The sequence below is a fragment of the Homo sapiens genome, chromosome 7 (assembly GCF_000001405.40).
Source record: "Homo sapiens chromosome 7, GRCh38.p14 Primary Assembly".
Lineage (NCBI taxonomy): Eukaryota > Metazoa > Chordata > Mammalia > Primates > Hominidae > Homo > Homo sapiens.
In genome coordinates, this window is record NC_000007.14 from 66023652 (window position 1) to 66036794 (window position 13143).

The following is a 13143-nucleotide window of genomic DNA, read 5'->3' on the forward strand; positions in this document are numbered from 1 at the left end:
CTTGTATGAGGGAGTCAAACTCATAGAAACAAAAACCAGAACGGTGGCTGCCAGGGACAGAGGAGAAGCAAGTGCAGAATTGTTTAAGGGATACAGAATTTCAGTTTTGCAAACTGAAAAGGTCTGCATATTGGTTGCAACAATTGAACTGTACACTTAGAAATGGTTAAAATGGTAATTTTTTTTGAGACAGAGTCTTGCTCTATCACCCAGGCTGGAGTGCAGTAGCGCAATCTTGGCTAACTACAACCTCCCAGGTTCGAGCAATTCTCCTACCTCAGCCTCCCGAGTAGCTGGGATTAGAGGTACCTGCCACCATGCCTGGCTAATTTTTTATTTTTAGTAGAGACAAGGTTTCATCATGTTGGCCAGGCTGGTCTTGAACTCCTGGCCTCAAGCGATCCACCCGCCTCAGCCTCCCAAAGTGCTGGGATTACAGCTGTGAGCCACCACACCTGGCCTAAAATGTTAGATTTTGATATGTGTATTTATTTATATATATTTTTTGAGACAGAGTTTCACTCTTGTTGCCCAGGCTGGAGTGCAATGGCGCAATCTCAGCTCACCGCAGCCTCTGCCTTTCAGGTTCAAGCGATTCTCCTCCCTCAGCTTCCCGAGTAGCTGGGATTACAGGTATGTGCCACCACACCCAGCTAATTTTGTATTTCTAGTAGAGACAGGGTTTCTCCATGTTAGTCAGGCTGGTCTCGAATTCCCAACCTCAGGTGACCCGCCTGCCTCGGGCTCCCAAAGAAATGGGATTACAGGCATGAGCCACGGTGCCCGGCTATGTTATGTGTATTTTACTACAGTTTTTAAAAAATGTTATACACCAGTACAGAAGATACACATGGAAGATTTGCACACACACACGGAAGATGTTTTGTCTTCAGAGTTCACTTGGAGAAAGAGGGTGGGAGAAGTGCATTTAGTTCGTGGATTGTACCACCTGTGTGCCTGATGTAACACCAAATGGGTCCTCCAAAAGAAAGTTACTGATTATTCTAAGTGAAATGACAAAAGCTTTTGAAATTTATCAGCTCTAGAACTGACTCTAAAAAACTTGGGCTAGTTTTTTTCTCCTCTAAACTCTTGATCTATGATGTTTTCGATTTTAATAGGTTGAACTCATTCCAGACCAAGAAAAGGAACTGGACACTACAAGAACTCACAGAATATGATCAAGCCACTTTTGCCTCAAGCAAACACAAACATCAAAGGACTTCATTGATCAATTTTATAAAAAGTACTTTAACTTGTCAACCCTACTTTTCATCCAATTTGGTCTGAATTCTGGGAGTGGGGGTGATGGGATAGGTCATACAAACTGGAACTCCAAGAAAAGATTTTTAAAACCCCATTAAGTTTTGTTCCTTACTCTAGAAGGGTCCCTATGTCTAACGTTTAATTGTTTCATCTACAATACTATAATCCTCCTTTAAATCCAAACTCAGCTGAATATCAATACACGGTTGCTACGAATGGCTTTCCTCAGCTATCATTTCACCATGTGTCACTCTCTTCCTACTTAAGAGGTTAACTTACTTGGTCAACTTGTGGCTTTTCATTGCTGTGAGAAATTCTCTGACAATCTCAGGACTCTGGTGCCTGCACAGTGTTTTTGATATGTATTTTCACGTCTGGAAAAAGAAAAAAGCCAAACATAACACAAAGAACCCTGAATGAGAAAAAGGAAACGCAATGGCTGTAATTAAAATTCTAAAATTTTGTTTTAAAAATCCTGTACAAGCCGGGTACAGTGGCTCACACCTGTAATTCCAGCACTTTGGGAGGCCAAGGTGGCCAGACTACCCAAGGTCAGGAGTTCGAGACCAGCCTGGCCAACATGGTGAAACGCCATATCTACTGAAAATACAAAAAAAAAGCTGGGCATGGTGGTGCATGCCTGTAATCCCGGATACTAGGGAGGCCGAGGCAGAAGAATCACTTGAACCCAGGAGGCAGAGGTTGCAATGAGCTGAGATCGCACCACAGCACTCCAGCCTGGGTGACAGAGTGACACTCTGTCTCAATAAATAAATAAATAAATAAATCCTGTATAAAACAAGCAAAGAGGTGTTCAGGAGAACCAATCTTCATGTAATTGGAATTCCTGAAAGAGAAAACCAGTAGCTAGGACAGGAAGAATAAGTAATGAAATTTTAGGAGAAAACTTTTCTGATGTTAAAAAAAAAAAAAAAACTCACTCTGACAATTATGTTATATTTCGGACAATTTTTTTAAAGGGGGAACCCAAAGAATAAAATAAATTGCCTTGAGTCTACATGGATATATACTAATGAATAAATAAATGGGTAAGAAGAGACAACTTTTTCTTATGGAAGAATTCTAACTCATATGACCTGGGTGCAGTGGTGCATACCTGTAATCCCAGCACTATGGGAGGCCAAGGCAGGAAGATCACTTGAGCCAGGAGTTTGAAACCAGCCTGAAGCAACACAGCAAAATCTAGTCTCTTAAAAAAATATATATATAAAAATCTAATAAGCATAGAAGGAATGAGAAAAATTTTTAAATCACTATCAGGCAACTGTACCATAGTTATAATTACTTCAGGAAAGATCCACCAATGAATGCTAAAATTGGTGGTTAAAAGCATAAGCAAAGGGTAGGCTGTTTTCCTAGCCACAAAGCATCTCCCAAAAAATATTTTTTAATTACTGTGGTGGTTTTAACATATATCCACAAATTCTTTGATATCCCTCCCTTCAAGAGGTGAAGCTTAATCTCCCTCTTCCCCTTGAATATGGGCTGAACTTGGTGAATCCTTTCTAACATAATATGGAAATGAAGAAACAGTAGCTTTACAGTGGACAATCCAGGCAGATACTATCTTAACCAAATGACCAAAGTTAACAATAGTAGCCATAAGAAACACCGACATTGGCCGGGCACGGTGGCTCACACCTGTAATCCCACCACTTTGGGATGCCGAGGCGGGCGGATCACGAGGTCAGGAGATTGAGACCATCCTGGCTAACACGGTGAAACCCCGTCTCTACTAAAAAAATACAAAAAATTAGCCGGGCATGGTGGCCGGCACCTGTAGTCCCAGCCACTCGGGAGGCTGAGGCAGGAGAATGGAATGAATCCAGGAGGTGAAGGTTGCAGTGAGCCAAAACTGTGCCACTGCACTCCAGCCTGGGAAACAGAGAGAGACTCCATCTCAAAAAAAAAAAAAAAAAAGAAAGAAACATCGATATCATGTACCCTGAGATATCAGGACACGAGAAGGGGAGATCACCTCTGTGGTACTCTTCCTCAAAAGCCACAGGTTCTGTGTAATCATAAGAAAACGTCAGACAATCACAAATCAAGGGACGTTCTACAAAATACTTGACCAGCCCTTCACAAGTGTCAAGGAAGACAAAGGAAGAGTAAGGACACAGAACAAATGACATTATGGGAACATGTTAACTAAATATAAAATGGTATCCTGAGCCAGGTGCGGTGGCTCACACCTGTAATCCCAGCACTTTGGGAGGCCGAGGCAGGTGGATCACAAGGTCAGGAGATTGAGGCCATCCTGGCTAACACGGTGAAACCCCGTCTCTACTAAAAATACAAAAAATTAGCCAGGTGTGGTGGCGGGCGCCTGTAGTCCCAGCTACTATCGGGAGGCTGAGGCAGGAGAATGGCGTGAACCTGGGAGGCGGAGCTTGCAGTGAGCCGAGATCATGACACTGCACTCCAGCCTGGGCGACAGAGCGAGAGAGACTCCCTCTCAAAAAAAAAAAAAAAAAAAAAAAAAAAAAAATGGTATCCTGAACTGAATCCTGGAACTCAGAAAACAGCAGTGGGAAAACAAGGTATTCAAATAAAATTTTAGCTTAGTTTAATAGTATGTACCAATGTTAATTTCTTGGTTTTTCATGGTATAGACCATGGTTATGTAAGATGTTAACATCGGAGAAAACTATGGGAAGGGTACACAAGAACTCCCAGCACCTGTCTCTACAACTTTTATGTAAGAGAAAAATGGCTGGGCGCAGTGGCTCACACCTATAATTCGAGCACTTTGGGAGCCCAAGATCGGCGGATCACCTGAGGTTGGGAGTTCGATACCAGCCTGACTAACATGGAGAAACCCCATCTCTACTAAAAATACAAAATTAGTCAGGCGAGGTGGCGCATGCCTGTAATCCCAGCTACTCAGGAGTCTGAGGCGGGACAATCACTTAAACCTGGTAGGCGGAGGTTGTGGTGAGCCAAGATCGTGCTATTGCACTCCAGCCTGGGCAACAAGAGGGAGACTCCATCTCCAAAAAAAAAAAAGAAAAATGATTTCAAAATAAAAGGTGTTTTTTTAAAATTGATTTGCAATGGTCTGATATTTTCTCATGATTACACAGAATTTGTGGCTTTTGAAGAAGAATACAGATATAATTTGAGAGGAATTATAATTACATATTTTGGGAAGAATCTGAAACTTGAAAAATAAACAATAGCCTTAAGTGTCTAAGTCCCCAGCACTTTGGAAAGATGCGGTGAGAAGATCCCTTGAGCCCAGGGATTCAAGACCACCCTGGACAACAACAAAAAAATTAGCCAGGCATGGCAGTGCATACCCATATTCCCAGCTACTTGGGAAGCTGAGCTCGGAGCACCACTTGAGCCTGGGAGGTTGAGGCTGCAGTGAGCAGTGATTCCCTTTCAAGGAGAAGTGAGAGCAATCTTTTAGACTATTCCTTCTAACTTTGTAGCTGGCTAAACACTACACTTGACCAAACTCCTCCCACTTTTATAAACAGAATAAAAATCAGGTTACAGTAAAAGTATTCAAATCAGATAAAAGGCGATCTTGATTTCAGCAGCCAGTCGTTGGGAGAATAAACCCCCCTCCCTCAATGGTACTTTAGGTAGGCCTGGCAGAAGCCCAGCCTTACTTCATAGGTGATAGTGTTCAAGTTCTGTTGCCCAGAGCTGTGTTTATTCTTTCCACTTTCTTTACGCTGCTCTTTCAGATCAGTTAGTAAATGAAACACCCAGGAGAAGATACACAAAAGAAGTTTATGAATAAATTTGAGAAATATATCTATCTAAGGTCAGTGGTTTTGAAGGATAAACAGGAAACTGTAGTACTTCCTTTCACCCGCCCATTACGCAGCTTCCAATTCTTGGATTTGAGCAAATATGAGTCCCAGAGGCATATGACATTAAAAAAATGCTCTTTTATATAAGCCAAATAATCCAAATTCATTAATTTACCTAAAATATTTCAAATATGGCCAGGTGCGGTGCCTCATGCCTGTAATCCCAGCACTTTGGGAGGCTGAGGCGGGCGGATCATGAGGTCAGGAGATCAAGACCATCCTGGCTAAAATGGTGAAACCTCATCTCTACTAAAAATACAAAAAATTAGCCAGGCGTGGTGGCAGGCACCTGTAGTCCCAGCTACTCTTGAGGCTGAGGCAAGAGAATGGCGTGAACCTGGGAGGCAGAGGTTGCAGGTTGCTGAGATCACGCCACTGCACTCCAGCCTGGGCAACAGAGCAAGACTCCATCTCAAAAAAAAAAAAACAATTTCAAACATTTCCTATGAATATACACATCACTAATCTCCTCTGATCTCAAAAATATACTATTTGAAAGCAAATTTTCTTAAAACAAATATTTTGTTAAAAAAGAATTCTGCTTCTCTAGTATAAAAATCTAACATAGGCCAGGTGCAGTGGTGCACACCTTTAATCCCAGCACTTTGGGAGGCCAAGGCAGGCGGATCACGAGGTCAGGAGATCGACACCATCCTGGCTAACACGGTGAAACCCCATCTCTACTAAAAATACAAAAAAAATTAGCCGGGCGTGGTGGCGGGCGCCTGTAGTCCCAGCTACCCGGGAGGCTGAGGCAGAAGAATGGCATGAGCCCGGGAGGTGGAGCTTGCAGTGAGGCGAGATCATGCCACTGCACTCCAGCCTGGGCGACAGAGTGAGACTCAATCTCAAAAAAAAAAAAAAAAAAAAAATCTAACATAATAATTTCTTTCTGGAAAAGAAAAATTTTGAAGCAAGTGATAAGACAGAGTTTACCAAAAAAAGGGGAGGAAAAAATGCTATGGATTTTTAGAAGCAAACTTTCCCCACAAGGATAAAACATGCATGCATTAGAGTGCTGGAGGCAGGGGGGAATCTCAGTCTCATTCCTGTTTTAGAGATTCTACCACAGAAGTGAAGAAAATGCAGGCTCACACACCATCACTAAATACAATGCGACCCCTCTCATCTGCTGTTCCTTTCAGAAATAGTGGCATGAGATCAATGAATGCAATGTTTCCCCAATGGATAAAACACCCAAACGCCTAGCAAAGTCCAAACTGGACAAGGAGGCTCCTAAAAGCCAAAGGCTTGGCCAAAAACCATTCAACCATTTCCTTCCTGTTCTAAGCTGCAACCACTTGAGACTGAGCCTTTAGAGAGGAAAGAATATGGCCAACTCTGTTTATTCTACTACCTTCTTTTCTTTTGGGGGGATGTGGAAGGGAGGCGGTTTCTTTCTTTTTGCTGTCTTCCACTCTGGGAGCTTTTTTTAGGGGACAGGGTCCCAAAGGCTGTCTCCCAGGCTAGAGTACAGTGGTCATCACTGTAACCTCAAACTCCTGGGCTGAAGCAAACCTCCCCTCTGCCTTCCAAGTAGCTAGGACCATAGTAGGTGTTTGCTACCATGCCCAGCTAATTTATTTTTTTAAGAGCTGGGGGTCTTGCTAGGTTTCCCAGGCTGATCTCTAACTCATAGCCTCAAGCAGTCTTCTCTCCTTGGCCTTCCAAAGTGCTGAGATTACAGGCATGAGCCACAGCACTTAAGCTACTACCTTCTAGACCTCCTCTGAGTCTTCCTGAGTTTAGACTCTAGCACATGGAAAATTCACAGTCAAGGTATAAATGGTTCTTTCTACACCTGGAGTGAGCCTATCAGATGGTTTTGCTAGTGCCAAATAGGAGGCAAAAATGCTGGAATATCTTCCGTCTTACCAATCTTTTTCCTTCTTTTCCTTTCCCTGGGAACCCCACCCTAGGCCCCAAAAATTATAAATTTGTTAATTTCTACTATTCAGAAAGGTGAGTCAACTAAACTCACTTTCAAAATAACAATGTTAATACCCAAAAGACTATTTGAAGATTAAAATAACAATGTATAAAAGCATTATAAATATATAAATATATCAAGGGTGATAATTAGGAAAAAGCATAAATATTTCAATGGGAAATTTTGCAGAAACAGCTCTAAAATAGATGCTTCTATCCTATGACTACATCCCAAATGATTATCTAGAATCTTTGAGATTTACTGAAATTTGCCTGCTCTGAATTAGAGTCTTCCCAGCTTCCCTGAAGTACTACGTATACGTATAACATATAAAGCTTAGACTATTCCAAGGTCCACTAGATGGTGCCACATGTCTTGTTTTGAAGTGGAAAATTCAACTACATCCTTTTTTTTTTTTTTTTTTTTGGAGACAGAGCCTGGCTCTATTGCCCAGGCTGGAGTGCAGTGGCGTGATCTTGGCTCATTGCAACCTCCCCCTCCCAGGTTCAAGTGATCCTCCTACCTCAGTTGGGATCCCAAGGAGCTGGGACTACAGGCACGTGCCACCACAGCTGGCTAATTTTTGTATTTTTAGTAAAGATGGGGTTACACCATGTTGACCAGCCTGGTTTCGAACTCCTGACCTCAAGTGATCCATCTGCCTCAGCCTCCCAAAGTGCTGGGATTATAGGCGTGAGCCATTGCACCTAGTCTGAATTCAGTCATTTCTAACCAAAATCAATTCAACAATCTTACAAGCAAAGGGCAAATTATCAGAGAGGAAAATGTAACAGTTCAATTTACCACGTAGTTACTGAGAAGCGCAGAATCGACATCCTTCCTGAAAAAGAAAAGTAAGTTATCAGTCTGGGCTCACACCCCTTTCTGGGTATCAAATATCTGTAAAAGAATTCCCATCTGCCGGGCGCTGTGGCTCACACCTGTAATCCCAGCACTTTGGGAGGCCAAGACGGGCGAATCACATGGTCAGGAGATTGAGACCATCCTGGCTAACACAGTGAAACCCCGTCTCTACTAAAATGCAAAAAATTAGCCAGGTGTGGTGGCGGGCGCCTGTAGTCCCAGCTACTCAGGAGGCTGAGGCAGGAGGATGGCATAAACCCAGGAGGCGGAGTTTGCAGTGAGCAAAGATCACGCCACTGCACTCCAGCCTGGGCGACAGAGCGAGACTCCGTCTTAATAATAATAATAATAATAATAATAATTCCTGTCAAGTTGGGGGCCAGGCACGGTGGCTCACACCTGTAATCCCAGCACTTTGGGAGGCCGAAGCAGGCGGATCATGAGGTCAGGAAATCAAGACCATCCTGGCTATCATGGTGAAACCCCGTTTCTACAATCAATCAATCAATCAATCAATAAAATACAAAAAAAAATCAGCCGGGCGTGGTGGCAGGTGCCTGTAGTCCCAGCTACTCGGGAGGCTGAGGCAGGAGAATGGCATGAACCGGGGAGGCAGAGCTTGCAGTGAGCCGAGATCGCGACACTGCACTCCAGCCTGGGCAACACAGAGAGACTCTGTCTCAAAAAAAAAAAAAAAAAAAAAGAATTCCTGTCAAGATGTAGTAGTCCGCTTTTAGAATTTGGGGACTACCACCTAAAACTGAAACTGAGAAATGTCTTAAGTCCAACATGGTTTAGCTAGCTGTGGGCAATTTCAGAGCAGACTTGGGAACAAAGTGCTGTCCCATCCAACAGCCATGTCCTCTCCCCATTATTATCTGCCTCCCATCAGCTATTGACATCTTGGGCAGCCACGTCCTCCTGCTGAATCAACAGAAATGGCCCACTTAACACCAATGTCACCACTGGGAATTCCAGCCATGGGCAAGTATCCTGCCAAATATCCACCATGCTCCCAGGGTGTTCACCACCTACGTCAACTCAACAGGTACAGTCAGGGTGGCAAGCAGTGGCCAAAAGCCTGGTTCCCTGTGTAACAGTTAATCCAGGCAATATGCCATCTTTCCTGAGTGAAGAAACAACAATGTGATGTATATTAAATCACAATCGATCCACTCTACAATAGCATATCAGAAAGCATTGTTTTCAGCAGTCTGCAGGCAGTGGAGTATGACAAAGAATATAGTTTTGAAATCAGATTTGGGTTCACATTCTAGCTCTGCCATTTATATGCTGTGAGAGTTTTAGTTAATTACTCCCTAAGTTTTCCTTCTAAACTAAAAATGGGATGAAACTAGTATCTAAAAGTGTGGCCTGGATTTCAATCCAGCTCTTGCATTCTTTGGCTATGTGAATCTGGGCAAGTTACTTAATCTCATTATGCTTAAATTTCCTATCTATCAAATGGCAATTATAGTATCAACCTTGTAAGACTGTTCACAGGGTTCACTGGAAACATGTAAAATACCCGGAACATATTAAGTGCTCAATAAGCACCAACGTTATCATTACTACTACCTGTGCAACTACCACTACCACCAGCTCCTCCTACCTCATCAAACTGTTATGATGAAGTGAGACAACAAATTTTAAAAGTTTAGCACAGTTCTTGGTACTTGTATTAACATCTCCATAATGGAAGGTTATTATTTTTAAAAGATATTATCTCAGTTAATTGTCATTAAAAACCCTATGATGTAGAAGCTATTCGTATGATTCCTACTCTATAGACAGGAAGCCAAGGTTCAGAAATTAAATAACTTGCTCAAGGTCACACAGTAAGAAGTCTAAATAAAGTGGAAGGCAACTATGGAGTTGTGGGAAATGAGACTGGACTGGATGAATGGAAACTGGTAATGCAGAATCCTGAAAAATCAGGTAGAGGGGTCTGTGCTTGACATATTGTGCAACAGAGACCCCTGTATGTCTTAAACCAGGAGTGCAGTGAGATGATGCAAATGATGACCCAAGATTTCAAAAGCATGGGCCAAACAGATAGTTGATTTCCCAGTCAATAAATAAAGCAAAACCAACAGTGGTTCACACAGGGCTCAACCTAGGCCTTAGGTCATCAGCACAGTGATGTCAGCACTGTAATCAAATCAGCTCTGTGAAGCTTACCAAATGCTACCAGTGATTCAAGCTACGATTTCACAAAAGTGCTGCTTTGCCCAAATGACCACAAACACACTGAAGTCACAAAGAGTATCATATTTGAAAGGAATCTAACACAGGAAAGACAATGCATAATTAGTGCATGTGACAGAGCTCATTTAAAATTGAAAATGACAAATCAAACCACATGTCATCTTTGCCTGCTTAATCAGGAAATCAGCCCACTGGCTTCCTCCTATCTTTGCTTGAAATTGAGTTATAACTCCCTGTGCTCTCCAAAATATGAGGCGTTAAGACATCCCTTCCTGGAATAGTTAACTGGAGAAAAAATATGAATATTGTTTCTCTTCAGGACCAACGGATCCATCCCAGGTGCACCGTTACAATTTCATTTCCAAATCATTGCCCCTTCTCTGTCATTCAGAATATTGCACGCTCTGCGAAAATTTGTCCTTGGCCATTCCAAGTTACTATGCCACTGAAAAAGTCAATACTGTAATGTAAGAATCCAAAGAACATTCTTTGCCTCTTCTAGAACAAATATAAAGGAGGAAAACTCTCTTTCACATAAGTTTTAATGAATCTGTGTTTTGGGATCAAGAGAACAATCGATGTTTACACAGGTACTGCATTTTGCAGACTCTGGCTGACAGAAACTGATTTATTCATTGATTTTCTTTTATCAGCAAGATAATTGTTTTTAACCCAGCTAAATACTCTGACAAAATGCCAATGTATGCTAGGCCCTTCTTTATTTAACAAAAGGTCAAGAGGTACCTTATCTACCTTTTTATGAAGTCCTAAACGGGCTGTATGTGTTGTGGAATTTTTTTTTAAGGCAGTTTTTACCCTTGAGAAGTTACTGTAACCACACTAAATGACAGGTTGTTGGCAACAGGATATGGTGAAACCAGACAGACATCAACTTAATCAAGTTATCCAATTTCACAGCACCAATAATGATGTGATGCATGAGAAAGACATCCCTCAGAGCAATCCAGCCCCAAGATGTTTAATTCAAATCTATCCATGAGGATATAATCAGAGAATTCCAAATTGAGGAACAGTCTTCAAAACAACTGGGTTAGATTTAGACTCTTCAAATATCAATGTCATTTGTCACAGTGCCAATGTCACAAAAAGAAGCTAAGTAAACTTCCAGAGGAAAGGAAATTAAAGAAACATGACAACTAAATGCAATGTGTAGTTCTTCACTGGATCCTGAATTGGGAGGAAAAAGAACACTATTAGGACAACTGAAGGAATGTGAGTTTACATTGCATCTTTTTTTTTTTTTTTTTTTTTGAGACAAAGTCTGGCTCTGTTGCCCAGGCTGGAGTGCAATGGCACGATCTCGGCTCACTGCAACCTCCGCCTCCCAGGTTGAACCAATTCTCCCACCTCAGCCTCCCAAGTAGCTGGGACTACAGGAATGCACCACCACACCTGGCTAATTTTTGTATTTTCAGTAGAGATGGGGTTTCATCACGTTGGCCAGACTGCTCTCCAACTCCTGACCTCAAGTGATCCGCCCGTCTCAGCTCCCAAAGTGCTGGGATTACAGGCATGAGCCACCGCACCTGGCCTACATTGTATCTTAATAATAGTAGATATATCAGCGCTAAGTTTCCTGAGTGTGATAAGGCGACTGTAGCTACATAGAATGCCCTTTTCCAAGAAGGGGTGAAATGATCTGCTGTCTACAACTCTCTAATGGTTCAGTAAAGTAAGTGTGTGCACCTGTGTATGGAGAGAAAGCTCATGCCTGTGCAAAAGAAATAAGGGAATTCCAGGCACGGTGGCTCACACCTGTCATCCCAGCTATTCCGAAGGCTGAGAAAGGAGGATCGCTTCAGCCCGGAGTTTAGATCCAGCCTGGGCTCAAGTGTCTCTAATTAAAAAAAAAAAAAAAGAAAGAAAGAAAGCCAACCTGGCCAACATAGTGAAACTCTGTATCTACTAAAAATACACAAAATTAGCTGGGTGTGGTGGCAGGCGCCCGTAATCTCAGCTACGCAGGAGGCTGAGGCAGGAGAATCACTTGAACCTGGGAGGTGGAGGTTGCAGTGAGCCAAGATGGCAACACTGCACTCCAGCCCAGGCGACAGTGTGAGACTCCCTCTCAAAAAAAAAAAAAAAAAAAAAAAGAAGGGAAGGGGGAAGGGGGAAGGGTAGCAAATACCCAAATCAAAATGTTAACAAGTGGTGACTTCAGGTAATGAGTATAATACAGGTATTTGTGGTACTGTTTTTGCAGCTGTTTCACAGGTTTAAAATTTTTCATGCTAAGAAGTTAAGGAATATGAAAATGTAAAACTAAAATAAAGAATGCCATAAAGTTAAAAATAAAATTACTGTAACTTATAATTGAGGATGTAAAATACATTTGCCCCAAAAGTTTTTTTTGTTTTGTTTTGTTTTCTTTTTTTTCTTTTTTTTTGAGATGGAGTTTTGCTCTTGTTGCCCAGGCTGGAATGCAATGGCCCAATCTCATCTCACTGCAACCTCCACCTCCCGGGTCCAAGCGATTTTCCTGCCTCAGCCTCCCAAGTAGCTGAGATTAACAGGCATGTCCCAGCTAATTTTGTATTTTTCGTAGAGATGGGGTTTCTCCATGTTGGTCAGGCTAGTCTCGAACTCCTGACCTCAGGTGATTCCCCCCCCACCGTGGCCTCCCAAAGTGCTGGGATTACAAGCATGACCTACTGCTCCAGGTCTTCAAAAGTGTTTTAGAGCTAGTAGAACTTAATGGACACATCTAGCAATTATAAATGTACAAGCTGTAGATCTCTACAAAGCTGGAACTGTCTGCTCTACAGCTCACACTTTAGTATTATGTAATACGTTCACATGCAATCAGATTTCCAGAAACTGCTTACCTATACAAAAACTTCATATTCTCCTGTAGGACTTAGAATAGTACTTATTTTATTTACATGTGTTTAAAGCAAATACTCCAAACGCATTTTAAAGACTGTCTAAATTTATACTACAGGCAGGCAGTTACTTAATTTCCTTAAGTAATGAATTAGATGACTGAAGTTGACTTTCTAGTTGACA

The 13143-nt window shown here is 42.1% G+C and overlaps 1 long non-coding RNA gene and 1 pseudogene across 5 annotated transcripts in view; both read right to left on the minus strand.

Annotated features, from left to right (window-relative positions):
• Positions 1 to 13143, minus strand: part of LOC105375336 (uncharacterized) — a 52145-nt gene that overhangs the window by 31382 nt on the left and 7620 nt on the right. For 2 of the 5 annotated variants that reach the window (XR_002956511.2, XR_927617.3), the window contains exons 3-4: positions 7849 to 7885; positions 1546 to 1640 (exon numbers count right to left, since the gene is read on the minus strand). This is a non-coding gene — a long non-coding RNA (uncharacterized LOC105375336). Of the gene's footprint in view, positions 1 to 773; positions 1005 to 1545; positions 1641 to 7848; positions 7886 to 13143 lie in introns of those variants that run through there. The other 3 variants (XR_002956510.2, XR_002956509.2, XR_007060359.1) reach the window with 3 other exon arrangements.
• Positions 1530 to 5006, minus strand: LOC100419772 (CGRP receptor component pseudogene; annotated as a pseudogene).